Below are 19,375 nucleotides of genomic sequence, written 5' to 3' on the forward strand. Positions count from 1 at the left end.
GTTGTCAAACGTCTCCTGGTGGGCTGAACCAGCCCCATTGAGAAATACTGCCTTAGAATGCTGTGGGCTCAGCATGCCACCTTAATCTTTTCATTGAAAACACAACTCCTGGCCGGGCATGGTGGCTCAGCCTGTAATCCTAGCACTTTGGGAGGCCGAGGCGAGCAGATCACTTGAGGCCAGGAGTTCGACACCAGCCTGGCCAACATGATGAGACCCCCCGTCTCTACTAAAAATACAAAAATTAGCCAGCAATGGTGGCACACACCTGTAATCCCAACTACTAGGGAGGCTGAAGCAGGGGAATTGCTTGAACCCAGGAGGCAGAGGTTGCAGTGAGCTGAGATCACGCCACTTCATTCCAGCCTGGGTGACAGAGCAAGACTCCATCTCAGAAAGAAAAAAGAAAGAAAGAAAGAAAGAAAACACAACTCCTCTCCTCAGTCTTACCCAGGGAGGGGAACAAAAACAAACAAACAAAAAAAAAAACAACTCCGAGCACCAACAATTAGTATTTTTCTTCCTTCCCTAACACACAACATAATCTCTTCAAAACAGATGGAACCCATATTCCAATATCTACCTTTGGCATCTTTTTCAAAGTATTTCTAGGGTGACATTTGGGAGGAAATGGGAAAAAAAAAATATTTGGACACAGCTCTTTTTTCCACTGGGCTTTGAGAAAACCCCATCTTGCGTGCTCTTACTGTATCTCTCACTGATAAGTCCGCTCATAAAACCAGGGCCTTATCCAGGGCCACGCTTACAGAACTCCCACGGACACACCATGATAAGGACGCTGCTGCTGTCCACTTTGGTGGCTGGAGGTAAGTCCTGTTACCCAGAGGCACTGGTTTCCCATGCCCTGGTGGGGCTGGAAATGGGATCTTCCTGTCCTCCCCTCTCGCCCCCACCCAACCCCTACTGCATTCAGACCTATAATCATAAGAACATTGGAATGGAGTTTCAAAGAATTGGAGCAAAGAGCAGGATTCTATGACCTCTTGGGATCCTTCTAGAACAAGGGTTTTCTATTTGGGGGGTCAGAATGCGCAGCAAGTGTAGTTTACATTGTGTGGGTCGCTGCTTCCTGACTCAAGACCCTTTCTCTTTTCACAGCCCTCAGTTGTGGGGACCCCACTTACCCACCTTATGTGACTAGGGTGGTTGGCGGTGAAGAAGCGAGGCCCAACAGCTGGCCCTGGCAGGTGAGTTGACCACACTGTACTTCTCCCCGTCCCTGCCCCACTCCCTTTACATCTCCCCTTTGCCCTTCCACCATGGCGTCTATTGTGCTGGCAAAGTGAGTATTGATGGGACTCAGAGAGCAGCACAGGCAACTTTAGCAATAAGATATATTTCCGGCTGGGCGCAGTGGCTCATGCCTGTTATCCCAGCACTGTGGGAGGCTGTGGTGGGCAGATCACCTGAAGTCAGGAGTTTGAGACCAGCCTGGCCAACATGGTGAAACCTGCCTCTACTAATAATACACAAGTAGCCAGGTGTGGTGGCACACGCCTGTAATCCCAGCAACTGGGGAGGCTTAGGCAGGAGGATCGCTTGAACCCAGGAGGCAGAGGTTGCAGTGAGCTGAAATTGCACCACTGTACTCCAGCCTGGGCAACAAAGCAAGACTCTGTCTCAAAAAAAAAAAAAAAGATACATTTCTGTGGCCTTGGCCAACCTTGGGAGTGGAGGGAGAGGTGCCTCCTCCAGCTGCAGTAAGGAGCTGTCCCCTCCCCACTGCCCATAGGCAGCAAATATAGTATTACTCTATTAACCAATCAGAGGCTTGTTTACAAATGTACCATCAGTCTAGGAACCATTCAAGACTACCTATGCAAACATTCCTTGCTTTAAGGAACCAATCAGTGCTATTTGCGCAGATTAATCTTTAACCACAGGCAAATCAATGTTACCAATGAAAAAAATGTTTTCTTAAGTTGATATAATCATAGTGGTATCAAGACTAAACTGCCAAGTGGGGCACAGGTGTAAATTACTCAGACGTGTTAATGGTGGGGATTTTAAGAGAAATGTGTAAAGTTTACATTGACATAAACAAATATAGTGAAATCTCATTTATCTGATGTAATTGGGACCGAGTAATTGAAAAGTTGGTTATAAAGAAATTATTTTAAATCATATATATATAGTAAAGATTTTATCTTAGACTATGTAAACAATTTTTTGAGTTCTTAACTGTCTTTTTCATATAAGCCATGCCCCATATCTTATCTACAAACCCGTTTCTTTAAAGCAGAGCAGTAACTTTGAGACGTTCACAAAGCAATCTGAGTTATGAGCCCATCCAATCTTTCCATTTTCTCACAGACACTACTTCAAGAGCAATTTTTTAAGAGTCATGGTGATCCAGTCTCTTCCAAGCATTTAACTTTGTTTCCATATAAATAACGACTCTCTTTCTGAACTCATATTTCATTGGTTACATGTTTAATCAAATTTCATTATTACAAGCATAATTGATATAAACTGCTTTGGGAGCAAACCCAGCTGAATCAGGATGAGTTTCTACCTTAAGTAGGAGGAGCAACTAGCAGCCCACTAGCCTTGAGCATTCAGAGTGACCCATGCAGCAGTCACTGTGTTTAGAGAGGCCAGCGTTCATTCATCTGCTCCTTGATTAAGAGACTGTCAATGATAGGCCAGGCGTGGTGGCTCATGCCTGTAATCCCAGCACTTTGGCAGGCCGAGGCAGGTGGATCACCTGAGGTCAGGAGTTTGAGACCAGCCTGGCCAACATGGTGAAACTCTGCCTCTACTAAAAATACAAAAATTAGCCAGGCATGGTGGCGGGCACCTGTAGTCCCAGCTACTTGGGAGGCTGAGGCACAAGAATCGCTTGAACCTGGGAGGCGCAGGTTGCGGTGAGCCAAGATCACACCTCTGCACTCCAGCCTGGGTGACAGAGTGAGATCCATAAAAAAAAAAAAAAAAAAAAAAAAAAAAAAAAAAAAAAAAAAAAAAAAAGACTGTCAACGATAGAATGATGGCAGATATTTCACATTTTTTTCTTTTTTTGAGACAGAGTCTTGCTCTGTCACCCAGGCTGGAGTGCAGTGGCACAATCATAGCTCACTGCAGCCTCCAACTCCTGGGCTCTGGCCATCTACCTGCCTCAGCCTCCCAAAGTGCTGGGATTACAGGCACCCACCACTGTGCTCACCCATAGTAATTTTTTTTTTTTTTTGAGACAGTGTCACATTCTGTCACCCAGGCTGGAGTACAGTGGCTGGTGAAACATGGCTCACAGCGGCCTCGAACTCCTAGGCTCAAGCGATCCTCCCACCTCAGCCTCCCTATCAGCTGAGACCACAGGTGCATGCCCCCACACCCGGTTAAGTTTCTTTTTTTTTTTTTAGAGATGGGTCTCACTATGTTGCCCAGGCTGGTCTTGAACTTCTGGGCTCAAGTGATCCTCCTGCGTCGGCCTCCCAAAGTGCTGGGATCACAGGCGTGAGCCTCTCAACCCAGCCTCACAATTTATATACTTGGCTTTGTGTGCTTTTGCCAGTTCTTTTGCTTTTCTCACAGTCCCACAGTATTTTTTCCCTGAGAATTTGGAAGAAGGGCCACAGTCCCTCTGCTACAGGGCCCCATAACACCGGGCGCATTTGTGCTAAGAACTAATCATTGCTGCCTACAAAAATACTTCCTCACCCTCTTGCACAAAAGTATTCTTGCCTTGAGAACCAGTGAATGTTAATCCATGAAGAGTCCCTATGCTTTGTGCTTCTGTTTCCCTGCGGAAATAAGGCAGATCTAGCTGGGTGGGGACTCAGATGAGGCAAGTAAGACATTCACTCTGGAGGCAAAATGTAAGGGGGTAGCACAAAACTCAGCAACCAGCCAGGAACAGTGGCACACACCTTTAATCCCAGCTATTCAAGGGGCTGAGGCAGGAGGATTGCTTGAGCCCAAGAGTTTGAGACCAGCATGGGCAACATAGATAGCCATCTCAAAAAAAAAAAAAAAATACAAACAAACAAAAAACCTCACTAACGAAGATGAATGATATTTTAATGCAATTTTGTTTCTTCTCCAGGAGACAGAGTCTCATTCTGTCACCCAGGCTTAATTACAGTATGAGTCACCCTGAGAGCCCTGCACAGTGGCTTATGTTCCCCATTTCCAGAGAAGGCAACTGGGACTTGGAAAGGTTACAGAATTCCCCAAAGGCACTGGGTTAGCCCGGGGGGCGAATGAGGATTCAAATCTGGTTCAGTGCTACCTCTTTAGCTACACTTTGCTGGCCACACATAATACGTATTATGTGGGCTAAATTTCACATCTGTACGATGGTTTCAGCACATTTTTAAATTGGGGGGGGGGTACATCCTTTTAAGTATCTTTTTTCACTTTTTCTAATTTTAAACATCTTTTTTAAGACCTCTTAATGTCACACAAACGAGAAATGCCAAATGGCTAATTAAAAACAACAACGTTCAGAGAAAAGCAGGCATCTGCCAACAAACAGGTCATCGTTCCCCACAGTTATAGGGAGCCCGATCAGAGCAGTCCATGCCCTACTGTCACCTCCCTCCCCTCTGCTTGGCCGTGGCAGGGAATTGAAAGACAGGGGAGGAGGAATGAAGGAACAGGAAGGGCATGGAACAGCTTCATTAGAGACTAAAACAGTGTCAAATGTCACCACCTTAAAGTTCTTTTTTTTTTTTTTTAAAGACCTGGTCTCACTCTGTTAATTTTATTTTATTTTAAAATTTTTTTGGTAGGGTCAAGTTCTCACTATGGTGCCCAGGCTGGTTCACAAACTCCTGGGTTCAAGCAATACTCCCACCTCAGCCTTCTGAGTAACCGGGACTATAGGCATGCACCGCCGCACCCAGCGGCTCATTTTGGGCTATTTTTGTTGTAGAGACAATGTATTTAGTCCTGCCTCACACGGCTAATAAAGACATATCTGAGACTGGGTAATTTATAAAGGAAAGAGGTTTAACTGACTCATAGCTCAGCGTGGCTGGGGAGGCCTCAGGAAACTTATAATCATGGCAGAAGGGAAAGGAAACACATCCTTGTTCACGCAGCGGTAGCAGGGAGAAGTGCCGAGCAAAAGTGGGGGAAAGACCCTTATAAAACCATCAGATCTTGTGAGAACTTACTCACTATCATGAAAACAGCATGGAGGTGACCACCCTCATGATTCAATTACCTCCCACCAGGTCCCTCGCACGACAAATGGGGATTATAAGAACTATAATTCAAGATGAGATTTGGGTAGGGACACAGCCAAACCTTATCAGATGGGGTTTCACCATGTTGCCCAGGCTGGTCTCAAACTCCTGGGCTCAAGTGATCCTCCTTCCTTGGCCTCCCGAAGTGTTGGGATTACAAGCATGAGCCACCATGCCTGGCCTGATTGTTTTTCATGTAGATTGCATTAACACGTTTTTTATCTTGATGGCTGAGGTTTTGGGTGCTGCCTTAAGTTGTGCACATGAGGCGACTGCCTCACTCCCCCTTACCCTTGTCCCAGCCCCGTTCTTGGGAAACTGGAGTGCAGGGAGGCCCTGCTCTTTCAAACCTAGCCACAGAGCTCCTTTGCTTCTCCCCAGGTCTCCCTGCAGTACAGCTCCAATGGCAAGTGGTACCACACCTGCGGAGGGTCCCTGATAGCCAACAGCTGGGTCCTGACGGCTGCCCACTGCATCAGGTAACTGCCTTTCCCTGGGCGCTTGGCCTGCTCACCAGCTGGTGCTCATTTCTGAGCTGGGGGCTCAAATGGCCTGAACCATGCTACATAAAGCAGCCTTGCAAATAACCACTATACTGGCTGAGACACAAGCTGTAGTCAATCAATGGTTCAGTGTGTTGGCCCATCAATGTCAGTACATGGCATGGATGGAGTGTCTGTGCCAGGCAGGCACTGAGGGAGGATGAAGAGGAGGGGAAGGCCCAATCTCTGCCCTCTTGGGGAAACTACATGTGGCCTCTGGATCTGGAATTGGGTTCCCTTGAACAACTTAACTGACTTCTCAAAGCTTCAATACCATCACCTGCAGAAAAATGGAGTAACAGAATTTAGTGTGAATTCAATGAGTTGATTTACCAAAGGGCCTGGCACTTAGTAAGTGCTCAGTGAAAGCTAATTCTGAATTATAGATGAATTATAAAGGCCCACAAGGTTCTGCAACGTTGTTCACTTATCCTCTTCTTTGTCCGTGACCTCTGCTCATCACAGCTGGAACTCACCGGAGTTTCTGCCGGGTCGGCGTGACTCCCTACCAGGAGTGATCCCTTCTCCCATCCGATTTATAATAAGCTCTAGGAGGTATTGGGGAAAATAATAGAGGCCTACAGTCAGGAGTCCTGGCTTGTAGTTCTGGTTTCTCACTAACGGTGGGACTCTGGGCCAGGTTACGCCTCTCTGGGCCTCAGTTTCCCCATCTGCAAATGAAAGGTGGGAAAAATGTCCTTGAGGGCAAATGACTCCTGTTTTCTCTGTGTTCATCTCATTCCCTCCATAAGAACTATAGAGTTTGTGTTATTATAACTTTTATTTTATATTGTAGTTTATAGTTAGTATAGTAACAATTATTATATGATCATAGTTCTTAGGTTATATACTTTAGGCCCTATTATAACTAACTGATTGTCCCAGGGGAGGAAAGATCCCCAAGTCCCATCTAGTGGCTCACGCAGCAGCCAGTTACTTGGGTCTATCCCCAGCATTATCCAAAGCCAGGCCTCTGGAGGTGACCCTCTCCCTGGGCCCCCTTTCTCCCAGCTCCTCCAGGACCTACCGCGTGGGGCTGGGCCGGCACAACCTCTACGTTGCGGAGTCCGGCTCGCTGGCAGTCAGTGTCTCTAAGATTGTGGTGCACAAGGACTGGAACTCCAACCAAATCTCCAAAGGGTTCGTTTCTGTCTGGGTGCACTTGGGGGTGAGGTTGTCAGGGAACAGATGGGGGTCTCACAGAGGCAAGGGTCTCAACCACACCACACCCCCTCTGCTTCTTCTACAGGGAGGGGGAAGGAGCTCTGGCCTCTTAGATGTGGAACCAGCTCCAAAGATGTCTGGGGTGGGGATGTGACCTGGGGAGGGTGAAGCAAAGACTGCCAGAGCGACCTGGGTTTGCTGCCAGTTACACCTGCAGGGCCCCTGTCCGCTGAGCATGTATCTACTTCATGCCAGGTCCTGGGGACACAGGGACAGTGCTGTCAACCCTGTGACTGTCCCTGGAGTAGGACACAATCTCTCCTGCCTTCCCCCTTTCAACAAGGCCCTCTGCATTTTCAAACATGCCCTGGGGCCCTGCCAGTCAGAGCAACCTGGGGTAACAGGGTACAGGGAAGATGACAAGGTCTCCAAGCCCTCCAAAGCCCACAGGGCAGGAAAAGTCAACCCGGTCCTCATGCTTCGCCTCCACACTCACCCAGGAACGACATTGCCCTGCTCAAACTGGCTAACCCCGTCTCCCTCACCGACAAGATCCAGCTGGCCTGCCTCCCTCCTGCCGGCACCATTCTACCCAACAACTACCCCTGCTACGTCACGGGCTGGGGAAGGCTGCAGAGTAAGTGGGAGCCAGGAGCCCCCAGGCCTGGGAGGGAAGGGAGGTGATTCACGTCACCCCTGTCTGGCCGGGGCCTCTCACCTGTCATCCCAGGGTGTGTGGCTGCCTTGGAGAGACGGGATGGCATAGGCTGACGCCTGCCTGGGATCAAATGTCAGCTCTCCCACTTAATGACTGTGACACCTTGGACACATTACTAGGTCTCTCCATGCAGCACTTTTTTCATCTGTAAAATGCAAATATTTGGCTGGGCGCAGTGGCTCATACCTGTAATCCCAGCACTTTGGGAGGCCCATCCCGCGGATCACTTGAGGTCAGGAGACCAGCCTGACCAACACGGAGAAACTCTGTCTCTACTAAAAATATTAAAAAAAAAAAAAATAGCAGGATGTGGCAGTGTGCACCTGTAGTCCCAGCTACTCAGGAGGCTGAGGCACGAGAATCACTTGAACCTGGGAGATGGAGGTTGCAGTGAGCCAAGATTTCGCTACTGCACTCCAGCCTGGGGGACAGAGCGAGACTCCGCCTCAAAAACAAAAGGCATAATAATAGCACCTACATCACAGAGTTGTCACGAGGATTAAAGGAGATAATCCATAGGAAGCCCAGAATGGGGTAGGTGCTGTGTTAGTTGTTGTCACTGTCCCTATGATGGAGAGAAAGTTACAGAGACCATGTGACATCTTCTGTGTGGCCCAAGGCTAGAGTTCAGAACAGCATTTTCCTCTGTGACCTGAGACCCCTGGAGCCCTCATCAGACCCTCCATGCCCCATAGCAAAAGCTGTCCCCTGTGCCATTAGGTCTTGCTGCTCAGAACCTGAATGAGGGCGGGTCTCCTTTGACATAGACTCCAAGGGTCAGAGATCCAATGACAGTAGCCACCAAGAGGAACAGAGTTCCCGCCCTTCCCTTGTGAAATCACCAGAGGTTTGGAAGATTCTAGGAAGGGATGAGTAATAATGACCTTATGACCATAATGAGATTATGAGTGTTAATCACATTATGACATTTTTTCCTAATGACATAAACCCATAAGTATAATGACATGTTTTTCCAGGGGTACATCCACATACGTACCCTCAAATAATTCCCATTGCCCTCTTGACTGGCTTATCTGTAAACACAAGGACACATCAAATCCTGCGGTGAGCGGTGGTGGAAGAGGCATTTCATGCTTATTAAGATACAAGCACAACCTCCTGTTTGTTTCCCCAGACAACCCTGGGGCAGGCGCATTTCATCTGAGACAGTGAGAGTGGGGAGGCCTCCAAATGCTTGGCTTTTCGGCCCAGCTCTGTCAGTCACGGTGAAACCTTGGGCAAGCCACTTCCGAACCTCAGTTTCCTCATCTGTAAAATGGAAACACTGTTGGTGAAGACTAAAAGAGGTGAAAGGTGAAAATGCATCATACATTGCAAAATGTTATGCAAGTGTTAATTAATTACTTATTAGTGGTCTTAAGCCAGACACTTAACTTCCCTTTTTTTTTTTTTTTTTTTTTTTTTTGAGACAGAATCTTACTCTGTTACCCTGGCTGGAATGCAGTGGTGCAATCTCGGCTCACTGCAACCTCTGCCTCCCGAGCTCAAGCGATTCTCCTGCCTCAGCCTCCCAAGTAGCTGGCATTATAGGCGAGTGCCACCATGCCCGGGTAATTTTTGTATTTTAGTAGAGGTGGGGTTTCACCATGTTGGCCAGGCTGGTCTCAAACTCTTGACCTCAAGTGATCTGCCCACCTTGGCCTCCCTAAGCGCTGGGATTAGAGGGTGAGCACCGCGCCCGACCGACACTTAACTTCCCTAGGCTTCAATCGGAAGTGAAGAATTGTGTTAATCTCATCCTTGCCACTCATAGCTGTGGTAACAGTAATGGAGGTGATGGTGGCTGTGTCATTGGGGGCCATTATGAAAGCCCTCCCTTCACCACACCAGCATATTTTTCCCAAGGAGGGGGCTCTAACAGCCAGGAGGCTCACTTTCTTATTTCAGATAAGTGACAGAAAGCCATGGAGCTAGCTCAGCAAAAAAAGGGAAATTGTTATAAGGATTTAAAAGTTTTATCCCAAGGGCAGAGATACAGCCAGGCATCAGGAACAAGCTAGAATCAGGGGCTGGAAACCTGTAAGAAACACAGGAAACCCTCCCTCAGAATTTCTGTTCTTTGTGGGTCTACTTCATTCTCCACATAAAACAAAATGTCAGTCATTGCCAACAGCTTCCCAGAATTATGTCCTCTGAAACCGGAATCTCATAGACCCCATCTCAGAATCCCAGGGGAGGGAGCTCATTGGCTTAGCTTGAGTCAGGTGTTCACTGCTGAACCAATCAACCGTGAGGACACAGTATAGACAAACGTGGCTGTTCGCATGTTGCAATGGATGGAAGACAGGAACAGGGGAAACCTAAGACGGGTCCATCACTTCCTTTTTCTCAGGAGTCCCTGCATCCCTAATGGCTTCTCTCTGATCTCATTCAGCCAACGGGGCTGTTCCTGATGTCCTGCAGCAGGGCCGGTTGCTGGTTGTGGACTATGCCACCTGCTCCAGCTCTGCCTGGTGGGGCAGCAGCGTGAAAACCAGTATGATCTGTGCTGGGGGTGATGGCGTGATCTCCAGCTGCAACGTGAGTACCAAAATCAGGGGCTCCGCTCCATGACAAAATGTGGCTGGGGATAAGGCTATAGAGGTCCATCCCTCCATAGGTCCATCCTCCCACCTCCTGGCAGAATTACCCCGAAACATGTTCCAGATATATCTTTGGCCAGGCACGGTGGCTCACACCTGTAATCCCAGCACTTTGAGAGGCCAGGCGGGCAGACCACTTGAGGTCAGCAGTTCAAGACCAGCCTGGCCAACATGGTGAAACCTTGTGTCTACTAAAACTAAAAAAATTAGCCGGGCATGGTGGCAGGCGCCTGTACTCACAGCTACTCGGGAGGCTGAGGCAGGAGAATCACTTGAACCCATGAGGCGGAGGTTGCAGTGAGCTGAGATCACACCGCTGCAATCCAGCCTGGGTGACAGAGCGAAACTCAAAAAAAAAAACAAAAAAACTTGATCTTGGTTCTTTTTTGTTCTTGTTTTGAGATGTTTTGAGATTCTCCTTGTAGTATCCACCCATCTCACTGCTGGGAAGTCCTTCCCTGGGTCTCATCAAGGTCTCTCGTGACTGTCACTATGTATCCTTTCCTCTATGCTGGAAGGGAACCAAAGGAAAGTATTCCCTGGCTTAGGGCCTTTCTACGATGACTTCTGGTTTTTCTGTTGAATTAGTCTCATCAATGGCGCAGCGTGTCCCCTCCAGGTAGCTGCCACGGAAACCTTCCTGGAGACAGTGTCTTAACCACCAGGAACTGCTCTGTGTTGGACTTAGCAGTGAAGTGGGGATGGAGTAGGAAAGAGTTCCACACGCCCTTCAGATCACACTGTGCCCTACACACTCTGCCCACATAGACCACCCGCGGGAAGACGGAACCAGTGGGGAAGAGCCTGGCAGCTGAAGTCTGGGATGTGGCCTCAGCTCCTTTACAAACTGCCTGTGCAACCTTGGGCAAGTCCCAACCTCTCAACACTCCAGTTTCTCCTCTTCCGTGGCCTGGGGATGCTACGAATATTTACCTCATAGGATTTTGTGAGGATTAATGAGATGAGGCATAGAACATGCTTAGCTCAGCTCTGGCCACACAGGAAGAATAAGTGTTGGCTCTTGTTGGAATTATGGTACCACCTTGGGCTATGACCACAAGGGTCAGCTTCCGAGGACAGTGACCTGCAGCAGAACAATAGAAATGCATTGAGAACAATGGTTCCAATGGGCAGCCCCTTCCTCTCCCTTTACCTGCCTATAACTCTGGCCTTCCTCAGGGAGACTCTGGCGGGCCACTGAACTGTCAGGCGTCTGACGGCCGGTGGCAGGTGCACGGCATCGTCAGCTTCGGGTCTCGCCTCGGCTGCAACTACTACCACAAGCCCTCCGTCTTCACGCGGGTCTCCAATTACATCGACTGGATCAATTCGGTAAGAACCGGACCAGCCCTGAGCCCCAAGGCACTACCCTGCTCACCTGGCCTCGGGAGTGCCATGCCCACCTGGTGACTGAGAATCCCCTCCTTCCTCTTGAGAGCTAGATGGGAACCCCTTGGAGGAGGCTGCAGACCTGAGTAACTGCTGGGCCTGCCATGGGTCCCCCAAATTTCTGTGTGGATAAAGCTGAGTGAAAAGGAACATAGAGGGTGGCCTTGTCCAAAGAGGTTGGACACTCCTCAGGCATATGAAGAGTGAGTTCCGCTGGGCGCCGTGGCTCATGCCTGTAATCCCAGCTCTTTGGGAGGCCAAGGCGGGCAGATCACGAGGTCAGAAGTTCAAGACCAGCCTGACCAACCTGGCAAAACCCCATGTCTACTAAAAAAATCCAAAAAAAATTAGCCAGGTGTGGTAGCGCACTCCTGTAATCCCAGCTACTCAGGAGACTGAGGCAGGAGACTCCCTTGAACCTGGGAGATGGAGGTTGCAGTGAGCCAAAATTGCACCATTGCACTCCAGCCTGGACAAGAAGAGTGAAACTCCATCTAAAAAAAAAAAAAAAAAAAAAAAGAGTGAGTGCCATAGAAATGGTGATTTTATTTTTGTTTATCTGTGTGTAGGCCCAGACTCCACCATCCAGTGCTATAAACAGGTATATTTATCTGCAAAGCCCAAAACCTGATATCCCCATAGCATTAATTATTGGAAATTAGTCCACCTCAGGGGTCCTCCAGCTATTCTGTAGGGTGACCAACCATCATGGTTTGCCCAGGACTGAGAGGTTTTCCAGGATGTGGGACTTCCTGTTTTACACTGGGACCATCCCAGGCAAATAGAGCTGAGTTGGTCCCCCTGTCTTGTAAAAGTAAACAACTCAGAGAGGTGTCTCCTTTCAGCTTCCACAATAACTCAATTTGTTTTTAACAATGAACACATTTGTTTATAACAATGAGCATTAAAATTATTTATTAAAAATAATAGGCCAGGTGCCATGGCTCATGCCTGTAATCGCAGCACTTTGGGAGGCCAAGGAGGGAGGATTGCTTGAGCCCAGGAGTTCAAGAGCATCCTGGGCAACATAGCAAGACTCTGTCTTTACAAAAAAATTTTTTTTAATTACTCAGGCACGGTGGTACATGCCTGTAGTCTCAGCTACTTGGGAGGCTTGGGTGGAAGGATCACTTGGGCCCGGGAGGCCAACGCTGCAGTGAGCACTTAAGCCTGGGCGACATAGCAAGACCCTGTCTCCAAAAATAATGATAATAATACCTGGCATCAATATTAAGGAGCAGCCATGGATACACGCAGCAGTAGGTGAAAGCAGCCAGAACAGGAAACCCCGTCACAAGAAAGGGATGCCTGGTGGCTCACGCCTGTAATCCAGGCACTTTGGGAGGTCAAGATGGGCAGATCACCAGAGGTCAGGAGTTCGAGACCAGCCTGGTCAACACGGGGAAACCCCGTCTCTACTAAAAATACAAAAATAAGGTGGGTGTGGTGATACGTGCTTGTAATCCCAGCTACTCAGGAGGCTGAGGCAGGGGAATCACTTGAACCTGGGAGGTGGAGGTTGCAGTAACCCGAGTTCGCACCACTGCACTCCAGCCTGGGCGACAGAGCGAGACTCCATCTCAAAAGAAAAAAAAACACACAAAAAAGAAAGAGTTGCCCATGAGAGGGCAGAGGAGCCACCATGCCTCGTACTGGATGCTAGAAGGAAAGAGTCGGACACTCTGTGCCAATGAGGGACCAGCTCAGTTTGCTCTTCTGTAAAATGGGACTTGAACTAGACCAGGACTCCTCCACAATTTAGGCGCTAGAGCAAATGGGAGTTATGGTATTCGTGGCAGAGCCCCTAAAGAAGGGGAAAGCTGGCATCTGACTTCACTAAGTTTAATTTGCAGAGAAGTGTTAAATTGAATTAAACTGACACTTATAAAACCAAATATGAAACTGCAGCCATGAGCACGTGGTCACAGGAGGAAAACTAAACTGTCAAAATAAGCAGGTGGCTGCTTCCAAGTGTTCCCACTGATTCTTGCCAGATCCTTGTTCATTTGTCTGTCTGCTGGCATCCTTTTGCCAACAAGTGGTCACAAGCAGAGATTCCAAAGACGTTTGTTGGACAAAAATGAAAAATCAAAAAGACAGTAGCCATTAATCATTAATGGTGCTTTTTTATATCTAAATTGGGAAAAACCCATCTGAGTCCACCTTTGGAGGCGCCACCCACATGTCAAAGGAGCCTGGCCTGAGACTGACTGGACGAGAGGCTGCTTAGGGGCCTTTCTCAGCCAAATCCTAAGACCGTTTTCCAGCCCCAGCTGCTGTGGGAGTCACCATGCAGCTGGTCCTGGCAGCAACCTGGGGACCTGAAGCAGGGGCAGGGGCAATTGTCCCAATTTTTTTTTCCCAGCATCAGCTGTTCCCAGCCACAGACACAAGCACAACAGAACAGGCCAGATCCCGAAGCATGGCCAGATGGCAGCAGGGATCCACGGGGCAGCACGCCTCGCAAGGCAGCTGGGCAGAGGCCCTGTGTTCATGGGAGAGCAGTCGGGACAGGCACAGATGCCCGGTAACGGGTTTCAGAAGGGGGAGAGCCAAGCAACCAGCTGTCCTTGGGTGGGGGCTGCCCCTGGCAGCAGCGGAGGAGCTAGTGAAACCTTGCAGTAGCCCCAACCCAGGGACACAGTGTGTGCAGCCTGGAGTCACATACCACTAGAGCCCTGGGGGTGCCTGAGAGCACCTGCCTGGATAAACCCAGACAGGTGATGAGCCAAGGTCAGGAAATACAAGCAAAAGAGCAGAGAAGCAGAGGAGACAAGTGGCCTGGGGCATTCATCCTTTCAACAAATGTCCATTGAATGACAGTCACATGTGAACCTTCAGCAATCCTTAGTTTTTATTCTTTTTCCGGAAGGTAATACATACTCTTTGTAAAAATATTAAAAGACTATAAGAGTATCAGGTAAAAAAGTAAGAAGTCCCCCCTCATTTTACATCTCCAATTCCACTCTCCAGAGGTAATCATTGGTTTTGTTTTTGTTTTTTAAGACAGAGTCTCGCTCTGTCACCCAGGCTGAAATGCAGTGGCTTGATCGCAGCTCAATGCAACCTCCACCTCCCGGGTTCAAGCGATTCTTCTGCCTCAGCCTCCTGAGTAGCTGGGATTACAGGCACACACCACCATGCCCAACTAATTTTTGTATTTTTAGTAGAGATGGGGTTTCACCATGTTGGCCAGGCTGGTCTCAAACTCCTGACCTCAGGTGATCTGCCCGCCTTGGCCTCCAAAAGTGCTGGGATTACAGGCATGAGCCACTGTGCCTGGCCAAGTTGTCATTGTTAACAGCTTGTGTGTGGTCTCAACTTTATGTGCATATATAGCTATATATTTACGTAGATAGACACTGTCTTCTATGCAAAAACTAAGATCTGAGTCTTCATACTGTTCTGCAGCTGTTTTTCACTTAACACCTTATCACATTTTACATGTTAGTACATACATGTCATTCTTTTGAACAGCTAAATAGTATTCCATAGTTTGAGTGTAATGAATGCAGCTTTCATGTTTCCTATTTTTCACTCTTACATTGTGCAATGAACATCCTTGGACATAATTCTTGCACACTGGTCTGAGTATTTGTGCTGTAGCAGCTGGATCTCCTGCAGTTTACAGCACTGGATCATGAAGTTGGCATATCAAAATGTTTAACAGGCTGGGCGCGGTGGCTCACGCCTGTAATCTGAGCACTTTGGGAAGCTGAGGCGAGTAGATCACTTGAGGTCAGCAGTTTGAGACCAGCCTGGCCAACATGGTGAAACCTCATCTCTACTAAAAATGCAAAAAATTAGCCAGGCATGGTGGTGCATGACTATAATCTCAGCTACCCGGGAGGCTGATGCATGAGAATCACTTAAACCTGCATAGTGGAGGTTGCAGTGAGCCCAGATCGCCCTACTGCACTCCAGCCTGGGCAACAGAGTGAGACTGTCTCAAAAAGAAAACAAACAAACAAATAAAAAAAAAAACGTTTAACAGACACTGATCAACAGCCTCTGGAAACAGTTATAGCCCCAACCACAGTGCATAACTGCCTTGCAAACAGCAGTTTTGATTTAAGAAACAAATGAAATCTAAAAATATGCCATCCACACATTTGGAATATAATTTTTAGGGGTTCGAAGGCCCCCTACCCTGAAGCCCACACAGGACTCCTGGCTAAGACCCCCTTTACAGGAAGACCCTAACAGGTCAATGAAAAGCTGTGATCACATCTTTTTTTCCGAAACGTCATCAGAACTCCTCAGGCAGGAGCTACTGTAGTGTGGGCTGCCTGTAACTCACATGAGTAGCTTAGCCCAGGAGGACAGAGACAGGAAACTGCCATGCACAGCTCTGCGGTTAGGTGAACCTGACGATTATCTTGTGTGTCCTGCAGGTGATTGCAAATAACTAACCAAAAGAAGTCCCTGGGACTGTTTCAGACTTGGAAAGGTCACAGAAGGAAAATAATATAATAAAGTGACAACTATGCAAATCACATCTTGATGAGAGATTTATTAGCAATCCGTCCTAACATCCAGGGCTGTGGGCACAGTGGCACAACCCTGTAATCCCAGCACTTAGCACTTTGGGAGGCCAAGGCAGGCAGATCACTCGAGTCCAGGAACTCAAGACCAGCCTGAGTAACATGGCATAACCCTGTCTCTACTAAAAATACAAAAATTAAATGGGCGAGGTGTTACCCACCTGTAGTCCCAGCTACTCAGGAGGCTGAGGTGGGAGGATCACTTGAGCTCAGGAGGTAAAGACTGCAGTGAGCCAAGATCACTTAGTCGCACTCCAGCCTGGGCGACAGAGTGAGACCCTGTCTCAAAAAAAAAAAAAAAAAAAGAATTTCGCATCTACGTCACCCTGCCCTACTGAGACCTCAAGGACCCAGCCCACTTTAGAACCTGACACATGACATCGTTGTCCAACAATATATAAATGGAGCACTAAGCTCCAGCGAAGGAAGTGGGCTGTAGCAGCTTCCTGCACTCTGCCTCCTCTGCCTCTCTTTCCTCCCCTCCCAGCACAGAAGCCTGGATTTCTGTGCAGGCGCTGCCCCATGGGATCCCGGAGGTTCTGCCGAAACCTCATGGCCTAGGACCAAGGCTGGAGCCCGTGCTCCAGGCCTGGCCAATCAACACATTGCATCCCCTTCCCCACCACAGCGATTGGCTCAGGGATGGGCATGTGACCTGAGACAGGTCCAATCAGAGAGGTTGCACGACTCGTGCAGGGAGCTACCGAGGGCTGTCACTCATTCACTGCATGGGTGTGAGGATGAGGGGATGTGAGGCTACAAAGCAAAACGAGAGGGGAAGGGGGAGACGGGGTTATTTTGCTCCCCAGCATACATCTGGCAATGTGTGGAGACATTTTTAGTTGCGGCAACTGTGTGGGGAGGGGGAGGGACTGGCATCTAGCAGCCTGGGGCCAGGGATGCTGTCAAACTCCTGCAAAGCACAAGACATAGACACAGCCCTCAAAACAAGAATCATCTCGCCCAAAATGTCAACACTGCTGCAGTTGAGGAACTCTGGACCAGAGATGCGGTGGTGATCTTGTCCTCAAGGAAGGGAGAACCCAGAGCAGCTACAGGCCACTTAACGGAGCCTGAGATGAGACCTCAAAGCAGAAGGCAGAAGCAAAAGTTGAAGAAAAGCCAAGTCCAGGGACCATCACCAGGGCCCTGAACCCAGCTCTGCTCCTGGACTTTGCCATTTTGTGGCCCAATGAATGGCCCTTTGGCTTAAGCACAACTGAGTGAAGTTTTGTGTCACTTTCCAATCCTGAAAGCGGCTGGGTACAGTGGCTCACGCCTGTAATCCCAGCACTTTGGGAGGCCGAGGCAGGTGGATCACCTGAGGTCAGGAGTTCGAGACCAGCCTGACCAACATGGTGCAACCCTGACGCTACTAAGTAATACAAAATTAGCCGGGTGTGGTGGCGGGCACCTGTAATCCCAGCTACTCGGGAGGCAAAGGCAGGAGAATTGCTTGAACCTCCTAGTGGAGGTTGCTGTGAGCCAAGATGGTGCGGCTGCATTCCAGCTTGGGTGACAGAGTGAGACTCTGTCTCAAAAAAAAAAAAAAAAAAAAAAAAAAGTCCTGACAGCAACATGATGGAACAGACTGAGCATCTGTTCCTCTCCCTGTTTGTAGATAGGCACCCCAGGCCAGAAAGCCTGTGGGACTGGCCAAGGTTACACAGCAAATTCACAGCAGGTATTTTTTCAGTGGCCTCATACAGGACACTTTATTTTTATATTAAAACAAACAAAGATACAGAGCAGAACGCCAAATTCACATGAACTTTTAAGATAAAATATGAGACTTAAGAAATAGTTGGTTACTGTAGTGACTGATACAGACCATAAATGAGTCCAAACTCTTACAGGTAGTATGGGATGGAGTTGGGACTGGAGTCCACGTCTTCTGACATCCAGTCCCATGGGATTCTGCCCCCCACCCAATCTTTCTCACCTTTGCACCATCCTAGGGAGATTACAGAATTCTTTCCCACCCATTTTCTTACCCATACAACAATCCTGCAATCCAGGCCTGGATGGTTATCTAGGAAACTAAGGCCCAGAAGATAAGTGGCTTGTCCAGACCACCACACTCAAAATTGATGGATCAAAGACTTGAACTCGGCTGGGCGCGGTGGTTCATGCCTGTAATCCCAGCACTTTGGGAGGCCGAGGCGGGCCAACACGAGGTCAGGAGTTTGAGACCAGCCTGGCCAAGATGGTGAAACCCCGTCTCTAATAAAATACAAAAATAAGCCAGGCGTGGTGGCCGGCGCCTGTAGTCCCAGCTGCTCGGGAGGCTGAGGCAGGAGAATCGATTGCAGCTTACCGCAACCATTGCCACCCAGGCTCAAGTGACCCTCTGCCTCGGCCTAGCCTCCAGAGTAGCTGGAGCCACATACGTGTGCCACCGCACCTGGCTAACTTTTTAAAAGAAATTTTGTAGTGACAGGTGGTCTCACCATGTTGTCCAGGCTGGTCCTTTTTTTTTTTTTTTTTTTTTTTTTTTTCAGACGGAGTCTTGCTCTGTTGCCCAGACTAGAGTGCAGTGGTGCAATCTCAGCTCACTGCAACCTCCACCTCCAAGGTTCGAGAGGTTATCCTGCCTCAGCCTCCTGAGTAGCTGGGACTACAGGCATGCAGCACCACACCCGACTAATTTTCGTATTTTTAGTAGAGACGGGGTTTCACCATGTTGGCCAGGCTGGTCTTGAACTCCTGGCCTCAGGTGGTCCGCCCGCATCAGCCTCCCAAAGTTCTAGGATTATAGGAGTGAGCCACCACGTCCGGCCATAAAGTGCATTTTCACCCACCAGATGAAGCCCTCCTCTGCCAGCATTCTGCTTCCCCCCATCATTAGAGCGGCCAGATCCTAATTGTGCATGTCGGCCTTGCCTTCTGCTACATGTGCACCTTCCCCGCATTATACAAATCCTTACCACAATGTTGTGAAACAATACTGGGCATGGGCTTCTCTCCCTGTTTCACAGATGGGTCTAGAGACTTACATGACTCAGCCAAGGTCACACTGCAACCCCTGGTATGACCTAGAACAGGCTTCTCAGCCTCAGCACCATTGACATTTGGGGCAGGGCAAGTCCTATTGCCCAGTGCATTGTCGGGTGTTTAGCAGCGTCTCTGCTCCCTGCCCACTGGATGCCAATTTACATCAACCCCAGCCATGACAACCAAAAATGTCTCCAGATGTTGTCAA

At 48.7% G+C, this 19,375-nt stretch overlaps 1 protein-coding gene and 1 long non-coding RNA gene across 2 annotated transcripts; one reads left to right on the plus strand and one right to left on the minus strand.

Moving 5' to 3' along the window:
• The first annotated feature begins 765 nt into the window (after window positions 1-765).
• CELA2A (chymotrypsin like elastase 2A) lies at window positions 766-16,125 on the plus strand. Its single transcript, NM_033440.3, has 8 exons — window positions 766-827; window positions 1,120-1,208; window positions 5,595-5,692; window positions 6,767-6,895; window positions 7,420-7,556; window positions 10,033-10,178; window positions 11,420-11,572; window positions 16,024-16,125. Exons 1-8 carry the CDS (start codon window positions 788-790, stop codon window positions 16,039-16,041), a joined length of 810 nt encoding a protein of 269 aa, NP_254275.1. The 5' UTR covers window positions 766-787; the 3' UTR covers window positions 16,042-16,125.
• LOC105376767 (uncharacterized) lies at window positions 7,549-11,539 on the minus strand. The gene is made up of 3 exons (XR_002958256.2): window positions 11,174-11,539; window positions 8,116-8,906; window positions 7,549-7,782 (listed from the first exon to the last, which is right to left on the minus strand). It is a non-coding gene; the product is annotated as an uncharacterized LOC105376767 (long non-coding RNA).
• Window positions 16,126-19,375: the final 3,250 nt, after the last annotated feature.

This window comes from Homo sapiens, chromosome 1, assembly GCF_000001405.40.
Source record: "Homo sapiens chromosome 1, GRCh38.p14 Primary Assembly".
Taxonomy (NCBI): Eukaryota; Metazoa; Chordata; class Mammalia; order Primates; family Hominidae; genus Homo; species Homo sapiens.